We start from the raw sequence: 25405 nt of genomic DNA, 5'->3' as shown, positions 1-25405 counted from the left end.
AAAATCAATTCAAGATGGATTAAAGACTTAAATGTTAGATCTAAAACCATAAAAACCCTAGAAGAAAACCTAGGCGTTACCATTCAGGACACAGGCATGGGCAAGGACTTCATGTCTAAAACACCAAAAGCAATGGCAACAAAAGCCAAAATTGACAAATGGGATCTAATTAAACTAAAGAGCTTCTGCACAGCAAAAGAAACTGCCATCAGAGTGAACAGGCAACCTACAAAATGGGAGAAAATTTTCACAACCTACTCATCTGACAAAGGGCTAATATCCAGAATCTACAATGAACTCAAACAAATTTACAAGAAAAAAACAAACAACCCCATCAAAAAGTGGGCAAAGGATATGAACATACACTTAGCAAAAGAAGACATTTATGCAGCCAACAGACACATGAAAAAATGCTCATCATCACTGGCCATCAGAGAAATGCAAATCAAAACCACAATGAGATACCATCTCACACCAGTTAGAATGGCGATCATTAAAAAGGTCAGGAAACAACAGGTGCTGGAGAGGATGTGGAGAAATAGGAACACTTTTACACTGTTGGTGGGACTGTAAACTATTTCAACCATTGTGGAAGACAGTGTGGTGATTCCTCAAGGATCTAGAACTAGAAATACCATTTGACCCAGCTGTCCCATTACTGGGTATATACCCAAAGGATTATAAATCATGCTGCTATAAAGACACATGCACATGTATGTTCATTGTGGCACTATTCACAATATCAAGACTTGGAACCAACCCAAACGCCCATCAATGATAGACTGGATCAAGAAAATGTGGCACATATACACCATTGAATACTACGCAGCCATAAAAAAGGATGAGTTCATGTCCTTTGTAGGGACACGGATGAAGCTGGAAACCATCATTCTGAGCAAACTATCGCAAGGACAGAAAACCAAATACCACATGTTCTCACTCATAGGTGGGAATTGAACAATAAGAACACATGGACACAGGACGGAGAACATCACACACCAGGGCCTGTCATGGGGTGGGGGGAGGGGAGAGGGATAGCATTAGGAAATATACCTAATGTAAATGACGAGTCAATGGGTGCAGCACACCAACATGGCACATGTATATACATGTAACAAACCTGCACATTGTGCACATGTACCCTAGAACTTAAAGTATAATCATAAAAAAAATAAAAAAGAAAAAAAAGAAAAGCGGTCTTTCAACACCCCTAAGATTTCAATCCCAACCACTCAGCAGCACCCATTCCCTAGTTCCCTGTCTGACAAATTAGCCTTAAAAACCCTAGCCTCTAAGTTCTCAGGGAGGTGGATTTGTGAAATATCTCCTGTCCTTTCACTTGCTGTCTTGCAGTAATTAAACTCTCTACTGAAACACTGCCGCCTCACGTATTGGCTTTTCTATGCAGCAGACAAGAAGAACCCATTAAGCTGTAACATTATCACCAAGTATCTGACTAAATAAGACCCCTTCTAGTGGTCTAAACTATTGCCCTGAAACAGAGCCCAAATACCTTTACTTAATTAAATTTGGGTTAAGTTCCCTGTCTACTCAGTAAATTAAAGACAGTGTTTATTTTACCACTTGCTCATTCTTGATCCTTATGTGTGATTCTAAACCCAGTGTACTAGGGCTTAGCCTTTAGTCTTAAAGACACCTTTAGCATTTCTTCCTGCTGATATTTAGGATTTTCATAAAAATAGAACATCTGGTGTCCTACTGTAATGTTGCAGAGTTGCTAAAGTGGAAATACCAATCAGGATCTCCTAAATCTCTTGCCATATAAGTACTGTCCACTAAGCATTGCTCCACAACGTTTCTCAGAAAACATATACAAAGTAATACTTTCTGTAGGAAGCAGCAGAGTAAACAGACTGAAAACCCCAGGCCATGCCTACCCACCATGGGGAATGAAGACAAATCACATCTCTGCATACCCATAAGCCATTCTTTTCCGGTCAACAACTGTTCCATGGACCATTGATTGTTAAACTCTTTCTTACAAAGAAAGGACATAGAATCAAAGGGTAGAGGAATAAGAGGATTTCTTTTTGTTTAAAATTCAGACAAATTAAATTTAACAGAATTTAATTGAGCAAAGAATGAATCATGAATCAGGCAGCCTCCCCCACTCCCAGACAAAAATTGGTTCAGGGCAACCCTGGAGGTGGTCAGCATGATCAGAAAGGATTTACAAACAGAAAAAGGAAGGTAACATACAGAAAGTAGAAGTGAAATACAGCAACAACCGGATTAGTTATAGCTCAATGTTTGCCTTGTTTGAACACAGTTTGAACAGTTTGCCACCTCTGATTGGCTGAAACTCAGTGATTGGTACAAGAGTAGGTTGTTGTCTGTTTACACATCCAGTTAGGTTACAATTCACTATGTAAGGAGAAATCTTCAGATCAAACTAAAAATGTGTATGGAGACAGCTTTAGACTAAACACAATTTAACAGAATTGTCTCACAAGAACTTGTCTCACAGGAACCAAAGTGACAGGCATGGACAGAGGGAGGAAGGCCCAGGCCCCCTTATTTGAATGAGAAGGAAAGGAAGGGAGCTAACAATGGGGTAAGCCAGTTTTTATGCTCTTCTTTTTGGATTTTTTGTGATAAAATGAAAGGCCAAATGTGGGCTTTTCTCTTACTGTGACACAAGAAGTTCCACGTGGCTCCAAGCAATAAAGGTTTAAAACACTCCAATTCCAATATGAAAGGAAATAATCTTCAGACAGCAGCTTAAAGAACTCATGGTGCGGTGGCTCACGCCTGTAATCCCAGAACTTTGGGAGGCCGAGGCGGGCGGATCACGAGGTCAGGAGATTGAGACCATCCTGGCTAACATGGTGAAAACCCGTCTCCACTAAAAATACAAAAAAAAAAAATTAGCCGGGCATGGTGGCAGGCACCTGTAGTCCCATCTACTCAGGAGGCTGAGGCAGGAGAATGGTGTGAACCCGGGAGGCGGAGCTTGCAGTGAGCCAAAATCGCGCCACTGCATTCCAGCCTGGGCAACAGAGCAAGACTCCGTCTCAAAAAATAAATAAATAAATAAATAAAATAAAGAAGCACAAGGATATATTCTAGAATATCAAATATGGAAACCAATGATGTAAAAGCCTGGAAATTCTATCTCAAATAATCTAAAATGGATATAGATATTGCAAAGCAGGGTCACTGGTTACCAACTTGTCTGATTCTGATGAGATAGAACACCTAACACAAATTACATAAAGCAAATTTATTACTTACAGATAGACAAGGGAAAATAGAAGCCTAGAATCCATTGCATGCTAGACCCCCAAGGCTCAGAAAAGCTGCCCAGAGCAAATGAAGTCTTGATGACATATGCCCCACTTGTATCACAGCTGATATCACTTGTATCACACCAGAAAGGGGTCTGCTTTGGGTTTAATAGCCTCTGATCATGTGAATAGCTGGGATAGTGCATTGAGAGATATCTTCTTTCTAAGGTTGGACTGAACAGTTCTAGCCAGCCCTCCCTGTCTCAGGAGGTTACATTCCCAGCATATTCTATAGTTATTTTTGAGAAGCACAAATAATAATAAGAAAAGCCCTGAACTGAACTGTAGGTAGTATAGCAGAAATGGAGAAACAGCATGAATCTAAGTACAAAAGCCTTGACTAGATGGTTCAGGGGCTTGTAAACCATTCTTAACGAATTTTTAAATTTACTTTAGGAGCCTTAGGGAGCCTTTGCAAAGTTTTAAGTAATGGGAAGACATAATTAGATTTACATTTAAGAAAGATTATGCTGTATGCCTTGTGGAGAATAGATTTGATTCACAGAAATCTCTGGAAACCAAGCATGTTTGAATAAACTGCACATAAATCCTACGTGAGTTGGCAAAAGACAGATTTTATCTCAGTCTTCAGAGATGGAGCCGAAGATTGAAGACTAAACCAGGAACTGGGCACAAATACAAGAGGACCACATTTCTGTGTTGCACAATTTGGTCATTTGTGGATGGATGGTGTTTTTTGGGTCACAGGCAGGAATACTCCCTGTGTCTCTGCAGAAACAATAAGAAGTGAAGCTCTGCTACAATGGGTTAAAAAGGGAATGGGAGGTAAAGAAGTGAAGACTGTCAATTTAAACAGCTCTTTCAACAAGGGAGCATTCAACAGAATGAGTTGAGAGGGAGAAGCCTATAAAGAGAAAAGCAGCAGTCTTCTAGTTGCCAGACCCCAGCTTCTCTTTTTTCAGTTTCAAATGAATGAGAAGATTAGCAAGAGGATCCTGAAAAGGTTTACCATTTAGGTTTAAAGAGAATCCTGAGATTCAAAAGGGCATCGTGGTAAGAATTGGTAGGGGAATCAGATTAGGATGGGAGAGAAAGAAACAATATCAGAAGGATTTAAATTTTATAGGGGTGACCAAAGATTGAGCAGCATAGACAGGAATAGCTGCCCTAAAGTACGTGAGTGGAAATCAATCAGGTGATAAGATGTATTAGAGGGGCTGTGCTTCAGCATATTGTCGTGACAAGATGATAAAAGAGCATTGCTTAAATCTCAGTGTGTCACAGCTAGCTAGCTACTGCGGAGTCATGAAGAAGAAAGAAGGGAGACACAATATTTAATACTGGGGGAGATTATTTGCACAGCTCAGGCACTTAAATGTTTCTCAGGAGTTTTAAGTGATGCTCTTATTTCTCAAGATAAACATTTCCAAAAGAAACAGAAACATTAAAAAAAAATCAAGAAATGAGAAAGTGAAACTTTGGGCCAAAACCAATCTGCAAAGATTTCAAAAATCTAGTGTCATGCACCCCAAAATCTACTTTTAGTCTAACTGAGGTATACATTAATAACAAGAAAAAATATTTTCAAACTTCATAATTTGGAAATTCCAAACACAACCGAATGACTCAAAGGCCAAGAGAAAAATCACAAAAGAAATTATAAAATACTTAGAACTGAAAGATAATAAAAAGCTTTATATCAAAACTTTTGAACTGTAGCTAAATCAACATTAAAGGAAATCTGTAACCTTTATATGTTTTTATTAGAATAGGAGGAAACGTGAATGTCAGTAAATAAGCATACAACTTGAGAAGTTAGAAAAATGTCAACCAAAAAATAGAAAAAAATAAAATAAAGATGAGAAGGGCAATAATTAATGGGAAAAGAGGAACTATGGCAAAATAAAGAGGATCAAGAAAAGCAAAGCTTATGTGTTGAAAACATTAATAAAACTGACAAACCTTAGGCAAAACAGATTATGAAAGAGAAAGGGGAAAAGAGACAGAAATGGCATATATAAACAATACTAAAAATTTTAAGAGTATAATAGAGATTTTAAAAAATAAGTTAATACTATGTCTCTATGCCATTAATTTGAGAACACGTAAAATGGACATATTCTTAGAAAAATACAAATTTCCAAAACTGACTCAATATTAAATAGAAAAACACAAATTGTTATAACATTAAAGAAAATAAGTCATTTAAAAACTACCCAAAAGGATTTACCACTGAGTTGTACCAAATTTTAAAGAAAAAAAAATCCCACTTACACAAATCTTTTCTGAGATAAGAAAAGGGAAATATTCTACTGCACATTTTATGATACGGGTGTAACTTAATACCAAAATTAGCTACAGGCAAAATGGAAACAGAAAAGTATAGACCACTCACTCATGTACATAAATGCAAGAGTTCTAACAAAATATTAGCAAGCTAAATTTAGAACTATATAAAAAATGATGCGTCATGATTAATTTGAGCTCATCATAGGAATGCAAGATTGATTCTACACTAGAAAGTATATTAATTAATTTAACTACATTGACAGATTAAAGAGGACAATCCTATGTACCTAGATGGCACATCTCCTAAGTGAATAGTGCAATTTCTGCACCGCTTTTTAAAATAAAGTTGCTTGCCTTGGACTTCCTCACTCTTTTGCCCTTCCCTGGTCCAGAATGTGGACATGGTGGTAATCCAGAGAAAGGCAAAGCAATCAGAAAGCCAGCACGTAAGTTCAGGGAAAATGGAAGATTGGATGTTTGGGAGACATTTCAAGATTTATCCACTTGGTTCTCAACTTCCACCTTGTTTTACAGATGAAGAGAATGGGTGAAGAAGAATTAGTAAAAAATTTTATTTGCTATAGTCAAATATCCATTCTATGTATTTCAGGTATAGCCCAGAAACATGGGGTGAGGTGGGGTGGGTAGAGAATATCTGTGACAGCCAAGTGGACGTAACAATACTCCCCTTTCAAGGTTGTCATGAGAATTAAGATTAGGTGACATATGTAAACTATTAGCATAATGCCAGAGCTATACTAGGGCACAGCCACTAATGTTGGTTCTATTTCTTCTTTCTCTGTTCCCTATCCTCCTTCTCTTTCTTTCCTGAGGCTCACAATGCCCTCAGGCTGTCGTGGATTCCGCATTTCCATATCCTCACATTCCTCCTGAAGTCTGACTCACCAGACAGTTGTCAAGATTCTTCAATCTGGGCACCTGAAGTGGTACTACCTAATTCCTTCATTCAGCAGATATTTATTTAAATCTCATTATTATATGTCATATACTTTGCTGTAGATGGAGTGCTGTAGATGCAGTGAGCAAGATAAACACAACATTATATTAAAAACTTTGGCCCTCCAACTGCCTACTTAGAAATAACCTGAAGACTCTGTGAAAAGGCAGATTCCTGAGCCAAACTCTCCAAAAATTGATTCCAGAAAACAAGTAATGCCTGAGTAATCTCCAGTAAACAACTTATCTATTCTCATGTGCTCTAAAGTTTGGGAACTACTAAATAATGTGTTATTATATGGGTGTTCAATATTGAAAGGATGCTAACTGCTGATAAAGTTTAATAAACTTATCTTTTAGAGTGCTCTGCATTGTCTATCACTTAATCCAAATAAAGAAATTGCAAGTAGTGATAAGTCAGGCACCAGTGATAGACTAATGGGGAGAGGTTATAAGAGGAGCCTGCATGGAGCTCTCAGCATCATATCTCAGAATCAGATGCCAGCTTCGCCTGCTTCAAGAACAGGGACAGTGGAAAGGCATAGACCTAAAACAATGTTCCCGAGCTTTTTGGACTCAGGACCACTTTATACTCATAGAAATTATTGAGGACCTCCAAAGCTTTTGCTTACGTGGTAAACTACATCAGAAATTAAAACTGAATTTTTAAAAATTTATTTAAAACTAAGAATAAACACATAATATATTCACAAAAATAATGTATCTTTATAAATAACTAACTGTACAAGACTGACACAATAATGACAAGAAGGACATTAATTTACATATTTTCAAATAAAAATGGCTTAATAGAAAACAGCTAGGTTCTCCAGTCTGTTTCTGCATTCAGTCTGTTACCATCTAATACTGGAAACTCCACTGTACACTCATGAGAAAATGAAAAGAAAAAAAGGCAAAAAGCATTTTAGTATTACTAGGAAGTAGTTTTCACCTTGTGAACTTCCTGAAAAGGGTTAAGGAATCCCCCAGAGTTCCTGGGACCACATTTTGAGACCCATTAGCTTAAAAGATGAGAAGTTGCCTATGGATGCCTCCTCCCCACCAAGTGACACACTGTCTGGGAATAAAGAGGAGACTGGAAGAATAACTCTAAGAAAACTTCCATCACTGTACATTTTTCCCAATGCTGATCTTGGCTATGAGTCTCTTGGCCAGCTTTCGTTGACTCTCCATGTCAAGGGCAGTTATGGGATGGTACCGAGCATTCCAGGTATGACTGGAAGCTGGAATTCACCTCCTATTGTATACTCTACTCTTACACATATCTCAAGCTTTCAGTCAAAATAAAAGAAAGGTTAATCCTCCCAAGACACTTAGAGCTCCCTCATCTCCCAAGTGGCCACAGATACCCTTAAAAGTGGAGCCAGCCCCTCTCTGCCCAACATCTACTCACCAAAACCCACTTGTTCTATCCCACTGTCTTCAACCACATTTTTGACCAGGGTTTGCCTTTCTCCATCAACCTTTAGACTGATTGTTTGTTTGACTTAACTATTTTGCTCTAGATTTTACTCACTTCTACTCTGGATACCCCATTTAGTCCTTCCCTTAGTACCACTCCCTAGAGTGAGCTGCCATTTCTGACCCAATTCAATTCCAAGCCCAGAGTTCCGAAGCCTGGCTGGAGTCAGAGCACTGCTCTTTCCCTCCTCATCCTTGACTGGGCAATTGAAATAAAATTAGCATAACGGGGGATTCCGACCACCAGAAACTGTCAAAAAAAAAATTTTACTCTGAAAAAAAAGGTGATTTAGTCCTGTATTTAAACATTCATAACAACTTTCACAAAGTATTTCTCTGTTTGAAAAATAGATTTTCACATGTCACATTTTTAAAGTGTATTTTCCTCTCTCTAAGCATAAGATAGTTTTTAATGAATTGAACAGCTATTTTTTCTAATTAGCTACAAGTCTGCTTCCTTAAAATTGCATGTGAGCAAGTGAGTGGTAATGGATGGTGCTTGAGTGATCTTATAATGGCAACACGCCTTGACCTGGGAGGCCTAAGGCTGCTTTAGAGTCTCAGAGTTTCAGATGGAATGATCTGATATGAGGAAGATAGGGTGAAGCAACTGCTGTGGAGGCTGACTTAAATTAGACTGCAGAAGTTAAGAAAGAAATGTTCTGATTACTGGGAAGTATCTGCACTGTGGCATCACTGTCATATTTTTAACCAGTCATGACAGGTAGTTATTATATTTTAAGTTTCAAATTTCCTCAATTCCTATTATTGCTAAATCACACCTTAATAAAGTCTCTCAAGATGGGTTAGACAGGTGTGATCCAAAGAAATACACCATCAAAATGTAAGAGGTAAAAATTCTTTAGTCTTTGCCTCTACATAGAAAATAGCAAAACAATAAAAAAAAAAGCCACAAAATAACCACACCTCATCTGCTCTTTTGATCTCACTTGGCCACTGTACGTTAGAAACCTGTGAGGCAGAAAGTGGGAGTGGGGGGAAGGGGGGGTCTCTGTGTAACACTTAGAGAGATCTTGAACAGCTTCCTAAGCAAATGGTGACATAAAGTCCCCAGTGAGGTGAGCAGAGGAGCTACCAATTTCCCAGGGACAACCATCTTGAAAGAGAGCCTTCCTTCTTTAACTGACAGCATGGGGCGCTGGTAAGTTATGGTTTTGGTTACTTAAGCAAGCCAGGAGTCACTTGGAGTCCAACATTCAATCATAACTAGACTTTAGTGGAATTTATAACATAAAGAACTACAGGCAGGTTATCAATGCTCCTCTAACTACCCAATCATATTCAAACTTGGTGGCAATTTCTCGTAAGCAAATTTTGATATGTGTGATATGAGACTAATTGGGAAAGTTGGTAAATTTAGGATTGGTAGAAAGAAATGGATTTTTCACCCCTTCTAGTGACTCAGGGGCTCTTGGTTTAAGCAGTGTTTTCCCTTTATGGATTAATTTACATAAATCAGCAGGCAAGACCCTCTTTGAACAAATAATCTACAGGATGATGCAATCAAACAACAGTTGTCTCTATGATTCTGTACTTCTCCTCTTATCAAAGAAAAGGCAAAGCCTGCAGAAGACTCTCACTGGGAGGAGACAATTGCCGTAACTGAAAAGAGAATGCCAGACTGGAAGGGGTTTCCCGTGATTGAGTGAGGGTGAGGAGGAGGAGGACAGGAAAGGAGAGATAAAGCAGTAACAAGGCAGATGCACAGAGCCAAGGTCTTTAGAGGAATAGGTATCAGAAATGAGAAGGGGAATCAATGCTAGGAAAAGCAGTCATATACAGGGGGAACAGACCAGAGAGACCACTAGGAAGCTGCAGGTAAGGTTTCAGTGTTCTGCAACAGAAGGAGGACCAATGAAAGAATTAGGAGCCAGAGATAGGTACCTGAGGGTGGGGTTGATAAAGACAGAAACGGTAGGATGATTATCTGACTGCAGCCACCTGTTTTCTTTCCAACCCAGGCTCATTTTACATAGGCAGTACTCCTTAATTTCTACCTGGCAGAGAATTATTTTCAAAAAGAACTAACATAAATACAATACGTATATATTATATTACAAAAATATTACATATTCACATAGATAAATATAAAAAGCTTAGAAAAGAGAAGACAGAGATTTTCATCCAATATACTGAAGTCTTTTTAGGAAACATAAGATCGGCCAAATAAGAAAAAGAAGATCCTCCCAGCTCAGACCTACAGAGAGAATAATGATGAATGCTGGGGGCGAGGAAGCATCAACCATGTTATCTTTTCAAACTGAATGCTGCACACTCTGTTAAATGAAGGGGTGGAGGGGCAGATGTTGCTACACGGAACATATAGATGGCTTTAAGAAATTCTTATAGAGAAGAGTTTTATGAACAGGACTTCCCAAATGTTTAGCTTCTTTCTCCTCTCCCTACCCTGCTCTGATTATTTTTATTAGATTTTTAAATATCTATATGGAGTTTTTTAGTATTAGATTGCTCTGCTGTAATCTTCTACCATTCTCTACACTCAAAGACCCGAAAAAACCTCCAGTGCAAGTGAGAGAGAAATTGGTTTCATTACTTTTTTCTCAACCATCCTGTAAATCATCAGTGTAGGTAACTGCAGTAATTTCCAGCCTAGCATGTACCTTTTTCCTGTGTGATAGGATTAAAACCTAGTCTGTCATGCTACCCTGTTATAGTTTATAGATTGAATTTATCCCTTCACTATCTGCATTTGATTAAACACTATTTCCATTTTAGTTCTGACTAGATCTCTTTTCCTTTGCTATCTCACAAGGGATTTTGCAACACAACTCTTTTTTATTGTTGGGTAAGTATAGGGTTATTTCTGGAATGTAGCATGCTATAGAACTTATAATTTTTATGTGTTATATATTTCTAACTTCTTTTAAAAAATGGATATCTCCCTTGTTTTATGATAAAAATAGAAGTTTTGGGAAAAAATGAGAAAATGATTTGTTTGATCTCTTTAAATGACTTGAGAAGGTTTTAAATTGTGCCAAAAGGCCAGGTGCGGTGGCTCATGCTTGTAATCCCAGCACTTTGGGAGGCCAGGGCAGATGGATCACGAGGTCAAGAGATTGAGACCATCCTGGCCAACATGGTGAAACCTGTCTCTACTAAAAGTACAAAAATTAGCTGGGTGTGGGGGCATGTGCCTGTAGTCCCTGCTATTCGGGAGGCTGAGGCAGGAGAATCTCTTGAACCCAGGAGGTGGAGGTTGCAGTGAGCCAAGATCGTGCCACTGCACTCCAGCCTGGCAACAGAGCGAGACTCCATCTCAAAAAAAATTTAAAAAAAAATTGTGCCAATAAATCTTCCTTTCCTAATGTTCAGCATCAATCTGAAAAACAATATTATGATGCAGAAATAGGAACTTTCGGATTGATCCCTGAATGCAGGTTAGGTGAGTTTGGAATAACCATGCTACATTTCCCACTTAATATTAAAAAATATATATTTGTTTTGACTATTCCAGAATCCTATTTATAGAAATCAAAGTTAAGAATACCATTCAAATGAATTGGCCCCTCTTTTAAGAGGCAGGAAAATGTCCCAGTTGGCAATGCTGTTAGTGTCGATATCAATACTTCCAAAATGAAAACAATGGCAGAGCTGGGAAAAGAGGTCTCTTCAGCATTAGGCAGCATAACAGGAGGCCAGAATGAATCCTGTTTCCCTTTTTCATGTTTCTCTTGACTCTTTTGCACCTTTATAAAATGTCTTTGAAATACACTGTGGGATCAAATGTGTATCTCTCATGTTTACCATGCCTTATTTCAAAAGCCCAACTCCCTGTTTTGAAACATCTCCCTTCAAATAACACCTCCTCTTCTAAACAGCCCAGGAAATGTACACTATGCATAGGCAAGATCCCCTCCATCTCTGCTTCACTCTATTCTACTCAGATATGCTCATATCCCCAAAGCACTTAATATAAGGCTGTAGAAATGCAAGTTGTCTGGAAAGAGAAAAGTGCACAACAATCCTTAAATCTTTACATTTCAGAGGAAGACAATACATTTTGCAATAGTTTCTATTTTCATTAGCCATAAAATTTTCCAAAAAATAGAAAAACCAGAAGATGTGGATGTATGCCTCATTTTGGTCACCAGGAAACTAGCAGGAGCCTTCATCATAAATTCTTTAAGAGGGATAGCCTATTCTCTAAATAATGTGCCTAGTCTACGGGGAATTTTGCTCCAGTGTTGCTCATCATAACTTTCTCTGAGTGTGAAGGTCCTATTTGTCTTTCGTTTCCATTACATTGACCCTGTTCCACTAGAAACAATGGCCTAAGTACTGTTCCAGACACCAGAGCTGAAAACGTGTCTATTTTTCCCTTTGGTGAAGGTTTGATGGGGCCTCTCACAGTCAACTTTGGATATGTAAAATTGGATATGCCTATTAAATGTCAACTGGATGTGTTGAGGTAGCTGGATACCTTCTTGTATGGCAAAAATATTCATTCATGTATAATTCTTGCATTAAATATTTGCTAATCATCTACCACAAGCCAAGTAACATTTTAAACATTCTTCTGCTCTTGTAGAGGTTTAAATTCTAGGGGGATATCTAAAGTGCCCATCTCTTCCCTGTTTGTCCAGGACATCCACCAGTTTTAAAACTCAAAGTTCTGTGTTCTGGGCCCTCCCTTAGTCCTGGGCAAATTAAGATGGTCATCCTAGAGAGAATTTGTTTATCAACAGGACTTTTATAGAAAACAAGTCTTAAAACTCTGGTAGGGGAGCTCAGGAAGTCTTTTTCAGTAATAGTTTAAATTGATTGTTGTGGGAAAATCTCATAGGTACTGGCCCATGTGTACAAACCTCACTCTATAAAGAACACTGGCTTCCTTTAAACCCTAACTTTGTACCTGGCACTCACGGAGGGCTTGAGATAAAAATTTTTATTTTTATTTTTTTGAGATGAAGTATCACTCTTGTTGCCCAGGCTAGAGTGCAATGGCACGATCTCAGCTCACAGCAACCTCCGCCTCTCGGGTTCAAGCCATTCTCCTGCCTCAGCCTCTGCAGTAGCTGGGATTACAGGCATGTGCCACCATGCCCGGCTGATTTTGTATTTTTAGTAGAGATGGGGTTTCTCCATGTTGGTCAGGTTGGTCTTGAACCCCCAACCTCAGGTGATCTGCCCACCTCGGCCTCCCAAAGTGCTGGGATTACAGGTGTGAGCCACCATGCCCAGCTGAGATAAAATTTTAAATAAGAAAATTTCCTTTAAGTTCATCCTCTTAATCATCTTTTTACCTCCTTAAGTACATAATATTCCCACACCTCCATCTTTCCCAAGGCACCACCGTTTGGCCCCACAAGCCTCATTACTCTCCTCTAAGCCTTTGAACACAAAAGCTTTCTCCCTCCACATGGCAGCCTACTATCAATTCTTCCAGGCTCACATCATCTATTGCATCATTAGTGATGCCTTCTCCATTTCAGCGCACTCAAATGAATACCTATCTACATTCTGTTTTCATGGCAGTTTTTACTAGCTTTTATCAGAGTGGTGATTATACTTAAACATAATCATGTGTTTCTATATCTACTTCTAATATGTGAGTTCCTTCAGGCAGGAAAAATATATCCTTTACCTCTGTCTCCCCACCTGTATATAGAAAGTGTTTTGGACTTCTGTTTTCAAAAATGTGAAAACTGAACTGCCTAAAAGGCACCTGGAAAATGTTAAATAAACTATTACAGGCAGTATTTTAAATGCACGTTTCAGTTGTCAAGAAAGTAAGAGAAGTCCTCAGGGATCGGAAACAAAGAAGAAACTGAAAGAGTGGGAAGTGTGAAATAACACTGGGGTTATCGAGTCTCTCAGCCTCAGAAACCAAAGATTTTTAGGTTTCAATGGCCACTTAGGGACAGAAAAATCGGCCTTGGTTTTGAGCAATGTGGGGAGTTGGAACTGATATGCCTGAAAAGTTTCTCAACCCTTGAAGCGTTATAACTTCATGAAAAGGTGGAAAAGAAAATTCATCCACCACCAATAGTTGAGGTATGAGAAGCCTGTCTGTTTAAACAGTGCAGTTGGTCATAAAAAGCATATATAGGCCTCTCTTGAGAATTAAAATTGTAGGCCTGTTCTTACCCAATTTTAACATATGCATTTATATTACCTATGGGATCTAGGAATCCCCAAACCAATAAATTAATCAAAAGAAACTTGTTACTTCTCTGACTTTATCTTTCCTCACTTAGTAATTTATCTTTATTTTTCCTCACTTAGACAGCATCCATGCTGTCTTCTTGCCTATTGCTCGAAAATACCAGCCATATTTGTTCTCTTCTCTCTCTTCTCATTCTCTTCTCTGTCTTGAATTTCTTTTCTGTATATGTGTACTGAAAATTTCCTTGCCCAATAAAACCTTTGCTAAAATGTCAGCTTCTCAATGAAGTCTTCTCTCACCACTCAATTTAAAATTGCAACCTATCCACTCCTTCTAATCTCCTAATCCTCATTCACTTTTTGCTGTTGTCCAAAAGACTTATCACCTTCTAAATAAAAAAAAAAAAAACTTACTTATTATCCACCCTCACTAGAACTTACCTAATACCCTCCACCCCACTAGATTGTGAGCTCAAGGAGGGCAGGAATTTTGTCTTTTATATTTGCTTATATATCTCAATCAACTGGAAAAGTGCCTTGTACATAACAGGTTCTCAGTATAAACATTTTAGTCAATGGAATGAAAGAATTGATAATAAGAGAATCCAGCAGAACCCAGTGTAAACCTTCTCTGAAGAATAAGACTCAAGTCTGACCTACAGGATTCACATGAATAAAGCCTCTTTGGACTAGTTGAAAATAAAATAAATTATAAATTAAATGAACAAATGACAACTGACCCCACATAGACCAGGTATAGATACTCTTATGTACTTCAGATAATGGAATCACTGGATACAGATATAAAACAAGCATGCTTATTGATTGAAGATATAAAATAAGGTCTTAATGGAAAAAGAATTGACATATTTTAAAAATAACTAAATGGTGATATAGAAAATGTATGACAAAATACCTAAACAGAGGAAAAACAGAAACACAAAGAGGAGGAAAATATGCCAGAGGTTTAGACTGACACAGTTAACAGAAATAAAAGTCCTAGGGCCGGGTGCAGTGGATCATGCCTGTAATCCCGGCACTTTGGGAAGCTAAGGCAGTTGGATTCCTTGAGGTCAGGAGTTCAAGAAATAAAAGTCTTAGTATTTGAATAAAGATAATTTCAGAAGGATGGAGCAGAGAAAATTTGGGAGCAGCACTTCTTGTAAAAATAATTGCAAGTTTTCTGGTGTTGATGAACTCAGATTCATGAAGCACAAAAAATGACAACCAGAAAAAACAGAACTAATCTATATCTAGACCCATCGACTGACATTGCACACCACCACTGACATAAAATTTATAAAAACAACCAGACTTCCAAAAAAGAGTAATAAATTGAGATAGTATTCTTCTTTCTAAATGGCAATATTAGAAGCCAAAAGATCATGGAATATTTTTAAAGTGTTAAAGAGAAAGTAATTATCAATCTGATTTAAAAGCAGAAAAACTATAACATATTTTTAAATGAGTAGAAATAAATACATTTTAAAATCAACCAAAGCTAAGAAAGAGTGATACTAACAGTTGTTTCTGAGTAACCCTCCAAAAGATATAATTAGAGAAACAGGATATTGAATCTATAAGTAAAATTTGAGGTACAAACTAGAATGATGAGCTAAGGAACAGTTTTTTTCAAAAATCCAAACCTCAAAAATACAATATAATTATTTTAAGACTAATGTTGACAGTATACAAGCAAGTGAAACTAAAATTCTGGTATTAAATTCTGGAGAACCTATGATCATCTCAATAGACTCAGAAAAGCATTTATGGAAATTCAATACTATTCTTGACAAAAATTCTCAACAAACTAGGACTAAAAGGGAATTTTGTTGATCTGATAACATGTTGTTAAGTTTTTATATCTCAATATATTAATATACTGAATGCATACACACATTTTCTGAAACACAGCAGATTATTATTTACTTACAGCAAATAAAATTATACGAGTTCCTATTGACTTAATTTTTATGTCCAAGGTGAAGCAATGATAATAAATCCTGTACATGTTAAAGTTTATTATAAGCAAGGAACCAAAAAAAAAAAAAGGGGAGGGCCTCACTATGTTGCCTAGGCTGAGTTTGAGGTCGGCCTGGGCAACACTGTGAGACCCTGTCTCAAAAAAAAAAATTAAAAAGCAAAAATTAAATTGCTATTATTCACAATTCATGAGACTCTATAAAAACTTATTATAGTTTTATCTTTTTTTTGAGTCAGGGTCTCGCTCTGTCAGATAGGCTGGAGTGCAGTGGCACAATCTCGGCTCACTGCAACCTCCACCCCCCCAGGTTCAAGTGATTCTCTTGCCTCAGCCTCCCAAGTAGCTGGAATTACAGGTGTGCACCATCAAGCCCAGCTAATTTTTGTATTTTATTTTAGTAGAGATGGGGTTTCTCCATGTTGGCCAGGCTGGTCTTGAACTCCTGACCTCAAGTTATCCACTCTCCTCAGCCTCCCATAGTGCTAGAATTACAGGCATGAGCCACCACTCCCAGGCCCAAGACTTATTAGAGTATTAAGAGCTTAGCAAAAATACTAGGCAATAATATGAATTTATAAAACTCAACTAAATTCTTACATATCATATGTAATTATAAAATATAATTTTATAAAGATAGAATGACAGTATAAATAGAAATATGAGGCAAACAAAAATAATACTAATAAAAGGTGTATTAGACTTTCATGTAGAAATGTAGACTATTCTTTGGGAATACTTTTTAAAAGACCTAGATAAATGGAGAGATAAAACAGGAATCTGGAAGTTGCAGTAACATAAAAATGTCAATCTTCTGCAAATTATTCTACATGTTCAATATAATTCCAATCAAAATATCAGCAGGTTTTATTGGAAATTATAAACAGTTTCAGAGATTTAAATGGAAAACCAAATGGGCAAGAATAACCAAGACAATTTTAAAGAGCTACATGGTTGGAACTCACTCCGACAGATATCAAGAGTTAATATAAAGGTATAAGAGGACAATGTATCATTGATCTAAGGATAGGCAGGAGAACTGATATGTATATAAGTAGCGTTACAAATCAGCATGGAAATGATCATTTATTTTATAAATCCTGCTGTAATAATTGGTTATACATAAATTAAAAACTGGATTCTTAACCTCACAACATAAATACAATTTAATCCCATATGTATTAAATTCCTAAGTGTGAAAGCCAAAAGGTTAAAACTTTTCATAAAAAGAGGTGAGTGAATATCTTCAAAACCTTGAAACAGGGAAAAATCACTTAAATAAGACCAAAAAGCACAAAACACTCAGGGAAAAAAAAATGGACAAGTTCAACTACATGAAACTTATATAAAACAAAAATCACTATAAACAAGTTTATTAAACAAGCCACATTTGAGTAGAAATTATTTACAATGCCCACTACCAAGAAGAAATGAATATTTAGGATACATAGAAAAAAACTCTCACAAGTACAAAAATATAAGAAGCCAAAACACAGAAAAAAAAAAAAAACAAAAAAACTCAGCCTCATTATTAACCAGCATAGTGCAAAATTTAAAGACATACAATTTAACAAACATCATATTCACAAAAATTTTAAATTCTTGTCATAATAATGTTGGGGAGGATGTGAAGTAGCTGGTACTGAGAAGTAAATGAAGTGTGTGCATGTGAGAATCAGACTGAGTTGAAACCCTGGCTTTGCCACTTTCTAGCTGGAGGACCTCGGACATGTTACTTGATCTCTCTGTGCCTCCAACTTTTTATCTTTAAAGCAAGGATAACCATACCAGCACTTCAATGTGTAAGATGATTGTGAAAACAAATGAGCTAATGTGCATAAAATAATTAGTGCAATGTCTGACATGTAATGATCACATAAGGATTGGTTTGTGAGAGTGAATCTTGGTACAGCCATATCGGAGAGAAATTTGTTAACATATAATAGAATGAAAAAAAAAACTCAAAATGCAGCATTCAACATCTAGGTGTAGGCCCTATGAACCTTGTCATCTCCTCATCTGTAACTGACCTTGACAAGAGGGCCTCTGACTTTTCTGGGTTTTTTACCTCCTAGTTCTCACTGGTACTTTTCTGGACATTTTAATCTAGCTGCTAACTAATCAATATCAAAGAATTACCTTAAAGTTGACCAATCAAAGCTCATGGAGAGATTACAAATTAAGCACAATAAATAATCTCATCAATTTGATGAAAGGATGAGTCCATATCCTGCTATCTATGGCAATTATCTGAAAAACACATTTAATTGGTCAGCATGCCTGGGTTTCAGTCTTGGCTGCACTTTCTAACTAGTGGAGCTTTGAGAAGTCATTTTACTTCTCTGAGATTCAGTATCTTCTTCTATTAAATTATATGACTTCTAGTAATTTCCAGTTTGAACATTAAATTCTTGGAGCCAAGAGAATGTCCTTCTAGTATTACTAATGCTTTTCTGTTGAGTTGAGGAGAAGTTGTCATCATCCTCAATATTAACCCCTCAAGTAACCTTTCCAGAGGTTCCACAAAATGGTCCATGGTACAGAAATATCTCTAAGAGCTCTAAAAATCTCAAGCCTTTTTATATACCCCCATTTTCCAATGTGGAAAACAGCATTCAAAGCTTCAAGGAATCATAATTTACTGTGGAAACTGGCAAACCCCACTGTCCAGTGGATACTAAAAGACAAGTTGCATTGTATGAAAAAGAAAATTCAAAGGACTGCTACCTGGAAAAAAAAATCCATAAAATGTTACATATCTGAAGACAGAATCCCAACACCTTTCTTTCATAACTGTTTAAGAGAAAAAAAAATCACGAAGGAACTCACAGCAGGTTTTCAAATTCCAATTAGATTTGAGTATCATGGTTAAAGTGACAGGCTCAGAGAACATGGAGACATAAAACAGTACAGTCTTTGAGCAAGATTTGGTATCATCTCACCCAGGTAAAAACTTTTCCCTCTGTGAAAAGCTTCCAGTTTAAGACCTTAAGTAGGAAAGCTAGAGGGAGCTATAAATAAATGGTATTCTCCAGTAGGATGATTCTTAAGATACGTTGCTTCATTTTAAGTTAGAATTTCTATTTAATAAAAGTATATTCTGATATAATTTTATCTATTGAAAATAGCAGTGGTTTTACCTTTAATCTGGTAACTGCCTGGAGCATTTGCTTGTTGTTGTATTGGATGCTTGATTTCTGGAGGTGTCTAAAACAGAAAAAAAACACCACCTGGAAAAAAATTTGTGATTGTGTGTGTGTGTGTATTACATTGATTATATTTGCTAATCATTTAGCCCAGTTCTTTCTTTGTGTTCTTTAACTGTGTTCTACCTCTGAAAGAAGCTTTGCCAGGAAAGGAAAAATGTGACTCATATCTCTGTGAAAATTGGTGATCATCCTCTAAGAGGCTCAGATACTCTGACTTAAGCCTTCCCAATCAAAACACCAGGGAGTCACAACTTTGCTATGCGAGTATTATGCTATAACGGTGTTGTGTTGGCATTCACTGAATAAGGAAGTACTTAGTGAAATGGAAAATTAGGGAACTGTACATCACAAAAGAATTTTGTCAGTGTTCCAAAATGTATTTCTTCATTCTATCTGCAGAGCATAGTATGGAGTTGCTCAAGAAATCACTATTTATCACAGGACATTGGTCCTCCAGAGGGGATGGATGTCCCTTATCTAATTTTACTAATTAGCAGGTAAGAAATAGGAAGTTCATATTCTATTATTCAGCTGTGTGACAACTACAGCCCCTGGGAGTCTAATGTGCAAGAATGTGATCTGACTTTTTCCTTGGCTTTCACGTCAAAATGAGGAACAGTCCTTCACATACTGGCTCCTATCCTCACTATAATTCACCTGGTGCAAGTCACAGACTACCAATATCTACATGGATTACAAAGTCAGGTAAACTGAAGGTAATTAAGAAATGTGATACTCTGTTATTACAACTGTTTTTATAGCATAATATCTCCTGCAAAAATTACTTTTAAGGCAGTCTCACTGTGCTCATGCATTCTTTTCCTAAATAAAGAACAGATGTAATTTACTGTGTGTGTGCATGTGCGTGCGTGTGTGTGTGTGTGTGTGTATAAAGATTCTACTTTGTGGCTGGGCGAGTTGGCTCATGCCTGTAATCCCAGCACTTTGGGAGGCCAAGGCAGGCAGATCACGAGGTCAAAAGATCAAGACCATCCTGGACAACATGATGAAATCCTGTCTCTACTAAAAACACAAAAATTAGCTGGGTGTGGTGGTGCATGCCTGTAATCCCAGCTACTCGGGAGGCTGAGGCAGGGCTATTGCTTGAACCAGGGAGTTGGAGGTTGCAGTGAGCCAAGATCACGCCACTGCACTCCAGCCTGACGGCTGAGTGAGACTCCGTCTTAAAAAATATAAGATTCTACTTTGTGTGAGGCACTGTGCTAGTAAACATGATAGATACATTCCCTGCCTTCATGAATTATGCAGGCTAGCGGCCATAAAGAGGAAGATTTAGGAGTACGGAAAGAACCTACTCTCTTCTGAACACAGAGGGACATGTGAAATGTCTCCCTATGCACAAAAACATTTTGGGCTGCACTTGTTCCTAATAGTATGTTTCTGTAAAGGTAATATGACCTTACTTAAAATTTTCTTTCTTCTCAAAGGAGAAACAGTGGGTTTAAGTGGGGAAAATCTCTCCATAATCCGAAACCAAGATATCAAAAGAAATGACAGGAAATTATATTTTTAAGGAAAATAAGTCATTCTAACAAAAGGACACATGCTCCCATATGCTCATCACAGCACCATTCACAATAGCAGATATGGAATCAACCCAGGTGCCCATCAACTCTGGATTCAATAAAGAAAATATGGATACATTTACACCATGGACTACTATGCAGTCACAAAAAGGAAGAGAATCGTGTTCTTTGAAGCAACATGGATGCAGCTGGAGGCCATTATTCTAAGCAAACTCACACAAACAGAAAACCAAATACCACATGTACTCTCTGAAGTGGGAGCTACATATTAAGTATACATGGACATAGAGAACAACAGATACTGGGGAACAAAAGAGAAGGGAGCAAGTAATGGGGCAGGACTGAAAAACTACCTATTGGGTACTGTACTCATTACCTGGGTGATAGATTCATTCATACTCCAAACCTCAGCATCACACAATGTATCTTTGTAATATACCTGCACATGCACCCCCTGAACCTGTAATAAAAGTTGAAAAATTAAAAAATAAACAATAATGTGTATTTTACTTAATCAAGATACAATATATTTGACATGTCAAGGGGTACTAGTGAGTAAAGGATTTTTCCAAAAAGCAAATAATTTTTCTTTTTCTTTGTATTATGAACATCTCTGTATTGCAAGTGAAAAGACAGCAAACGACAAGAAGAAACTTGGTAGAACACATCACTATGGGAAAGATGACTCTTTTTTTAGCTCGAAGCAATTTTGGCTTCAGAGAATGCAGAGAATACCAATGACTTCTTAATGTGCTCAAACAGAATTAGATAATTTGAGTTGGTAGTCTGTTCTGTCTTCTTAAATTCCTCTCTGTAGTCCCTTATAGATACACAAAGAATTTCTCTTTATTAATTATGTATCTAGAATTATATGTTTCTCTTCTGACAAATTTAATTTTTCTTTAGACCAAAATATGGTCAGAATATATTTTTCTAATAAGTTTTTTAAACCTTATGAATGAATATATTTTATGCTTTAGACTAGATTAGCCTTTTCAATACAGGAAAGTAATTTAAAATTTTAGAATTCACTCATTTTTTTCTCTCTGGAAATCATTTACTTGAAAGGAATTTTGTAAAGCTTGTCTTTCTTATTTGACACAATAAAGATCACAGTGAAATGGTATTTGTCATTCACATAATGCAGCCCAAGAAAGTGAAAATTGAGAAAATCATAACACTGGTTCTCAAAATTATAGAGAAGAAGAAATTGACATAATACCTCTACAGAAATATTTGTTGCCAAATTACTTTTGTTTGCTTTACTGTTGATTTAAGAATTATTCAAGAAAAAATAGCTTTAAAAGTTGTTTATCTTATTTGCTTTTTGAATTCACACGTAACTAATAGCATATGCTATTTTAACACTGAGACATCCTATAAAAATTATGATCCGATGATTTTTTTTTTCTTTTGAGATGGAGTCTCACTCTTGTTGCCCAGGCTGGAGCACAGCGGCACAATCTCGTCTCAAGGCAAACTCCGCCTCCCGGATTCAAGCGATTCTCCTGCCTCAGCCTCCCGAGTAGCTGGGATTACAGGCACCTGCCACTACACCAGGCTAATTTTTGTATTTTTAGTAGAGATGGGGTTTCACCACGTTGGCCAGGCTGGTCTCAAACTCCTGACCTCAGGTGATCCTCCCACTTCAGCCTCCCAAAGTGGATCCTATGAATTTTAACAGCCATGTTTATATTTTAAAATGCTCAAAACATTATTGTTTATAACTTCAGTCATTATTTTAATGAATTCCAAAACACACATGTATAGGGTCAGGTTAAGAAGGTGAAATCCATACCCTGGAAGAGGATCCAGAGAAATAATCATGCACAATATATTTAGTGCTTAAATATATGTACTTTTGCACTATTGTAAGGATTTTATATGCTTTATCTCAGGTAAACCTTATAAAAACCCCAAGAGGTACATAATATTATCATCCCCTTCACAGATGAGTAAACTGATGCTTGGAAAAGTGGTTACGTTGGCCAAAGTCAGGCAGTTAGCATATGGCAGTGCTGAACTCCAGATCTACCTAACTCCAAGTTTCCTGTTCTTAATCTCTTCCTAGACTGCTCTGGTGATTTGTTCATAGAAAACTGTCTACCTCTGAATATTTTCTACAAATCTTCTCTTTGGACGTTTTGCAGAATAGAAGATTTTATTTTTATTCTTATTTTTTTTGAGACAGAGTCTCGCTGTGTCACCCAGGCTGGAGTGCAATGGTGCGATCTCGGCTCACTGCAACATCTGCCTCCCAGGTTCGAGCGATTCTCCTGACTCAGCCTCCTGAGAAGCTGGGATTACTGGGGCCCACCACCATGCCCGGCTAATTTTTGTAATTTTAGTAGAGATGGGGTTTCGCCATGTTGGCCAGCTGGTCTCAAACTACTGACCTCAGGTGATCCGCCTGCCTCAGCCTCCCAAAGTGCTGGGATTACAAGCAGGAGCCACCGTGCCCAGCCTGAAGACCCTCTTGCTGTTGCATTATGAGAAGATGAGTGGCGCTAAATGATACATAAGAAATGTATATGACTATCTGGCAAAAATAGAGTTTTACCTTGAAATTCCATGATCTCTCCTTTCCTCATTAACTTGCCTAAATTCTCCCATGCCTTCTCAAACAAAACACTTCCAAAAAGCTATGTATAGGTTGGATCAAAATAAATATGCTGAAGTTCTAACCCCAAGTACCTGTAAATACAAGTGAATATAACCTCATTTGGAAATAGGATCTTTGCAGACAAAGTTAAGACAAGTTAAGGTCCTTAGGGTGGGCCATAATCCAGTATGACTAGTGTCCTTGTAAGAAGAGGGAAATGTGAGCAGAGACACATAGAGTAAAATGCCATGTGAAGATACAGACATAGAGAAGACAGCTATGTGAACATAGGACAAAGATTAAAGTTATGCTGCCACAAACAAAGGAACATGTGAGGCCATCAGGAGGTGGAAGATATGAGAAAGAATCCATCCCTAGAGGGTTTGGAGAATGCACGGCTCTCCCAACACCTTGATTTAGGATTTCTAGCCTCCAGAATTGTGAAAGAATACATTCTTGTTTTAACCATCTAGTGTGTGGTAATTTGTTACAGCAGCTCCTGGAAACAAATATAAAATGTAAGGAAGAAAATGGTACAAATGGTGTGTTTTGCAACATCCCTCTTTCCCCTATTAGAGCTGAGTCTTACTTTTCACTGGTTAATTCAGAGCAGCATTTGATTGAGATTAACTTTATCTCCAGCTCTCATGGTTGAAGAATATGATTCTATTATGTATGTATAACATAAAATGCAAGTCCACTTGAAAAACACCATTATTTGCATTGAAGAGATTTTGCGTATCATCTTACGACATATTATCTCCAAAGAAGGAAGAGAAATAGAGAAATTGCATGAATGTTTGCAATGTAGCAATATCATCACATCCTATCCCCTACCTCCCAGCATTTTTGGCATTTCCAGCCCTGATTCAGCAATGTCAAATTATTCCCTGTCAAAAGATTGGGTTATCCTATCCCTAGACAGCTAATTCCAGCAAATTATTATGATCCAAATTCAAAGCTCTCCAGAGATTCCTGTGCCATTGAGATCAGTCTATCAGAGGCACAGCTAAAGTTAGAGTTAAGTGCTCAGATATCCATACCACTGGCTAAGACCACTGACGCAAATTCTTCATTTTCTCCTTGCCGCCCTTGGTGAGGAGGAGAAAAGTTGGGTTGGTAATTGAGGAAGTTTATATGAAATAATTTACCTTGTTAATTACTTTATACTTTTTGTATTTTGTGGGCATGTTTCATTTAGCTCAACAGAACAGTATTATTTCAATTTTGCAAATGAAGAAACTGAGGCAGGGAGGAGCTATGTGATTTGCCCGAGGTATCTAATGCAAGATTGAGGAGTAGCTATGAGGTGTCCTGAATCCTACTCAACTATATTTTCCTGCTGCGGAGTCTCATGCACATATTAGTTCTCGTTAACTCCTTGAGAAATACAATTTTTCAAGGATAACATATATTCTGAAATACTTTATTTTAGTGAGAAAAGGAGAGAAAAAGAGTCCTGGCTTTTTTAAAAAACCTCCTAACTCCACTGCCTCCCTCATTGTCCTTGCAGCATAGTGTAGTGGTAAATAAGACAGATTTATTCAAATTCCGCCTCTGTCACTTACCAGCTGAATGGACTGGAGCAGGTTGCTGCACCTCTTGAAGCTGAGGGCTGCTGGGAAAATAGATTGCACTGATGCATGTAAAGTGCTTAGCGCAAGTTGTGGCATATCATGAGCACTCAGGGAGAGAGGGGCTGCCATTGCCCTTCAATCTGTATCCAGATTTTCAGATTTGCAACTGGCTTCAAAGCACAGGTGATGAAACCTAGGCCCACCCATGCAGGTGACATGCTTTGACAACATCACACTGGAAGCTGATCATGTGGTCTGGAGGAGAATCTCTCAGGACACAAAGTCCAGTGTTTGTTTTCTTCCACTGAACTACAAGCCTCTTTGAGACACTCAAATAAACATGAT

General features: G+C 37.5%; 1 long non-coding RNA gene across 1 annotated transcript in view, besides 1 other annotated feature; it reads right to left on the bottom strand.

The window, feature by feature from the left end:
- Positions 1-21291, bottom strand: part of LOC105369474 (uncharacterized) — a 41954-nt gene extending 20663 nt beyond the window's left edge. Inside the window, exons 1-2 of the long non-coding RNA XR_947985.1 lie at positions 21258-21291; positions 19266-19332 (exon numbers count right to left, since the gene is read on the bottom strand). This is a non-coding gene — a long non-coding RNA (uncharacterized LOC105369474). The remainder of the gene's footprint in view (positions 1-19265; positions 19333-21257) is intronic.
- Positions 19486-19780: a silencer, noted in NCBI's record as "tiled region #7280; K562 Repressive non-DNase unmatched - State 24:Quies". NCBI's record gives its function as "represses a minimal TATA promoter and a strong SV40 promoter by Sharpr-MPRA in K562 cells {active_cell/tissue: K562}" and the evidence as "EXISTENCE:reporter gene assay evidence [ECO:0000049][PMID:27701403]".
- Positions 21292-25405: the final 4114 nt, after the last annotated feature.

Source organism: Homo sapiens, chromosome 11 (genome assembly GCF_000001405.40).
Source record: "Homo sapiens chromosome 11, GRCh38.p14 Primary Assembly".
NCBI classification, from domain to species: domain Eukaryota; kingdom Metazoa; phylum Chordata; class Mammalia; order Primates; family Hominidae; genus Homo; species Homo sapiens.
This window is presented reverse-complemented; position numbering and strand designations above follow the sequence as displayed.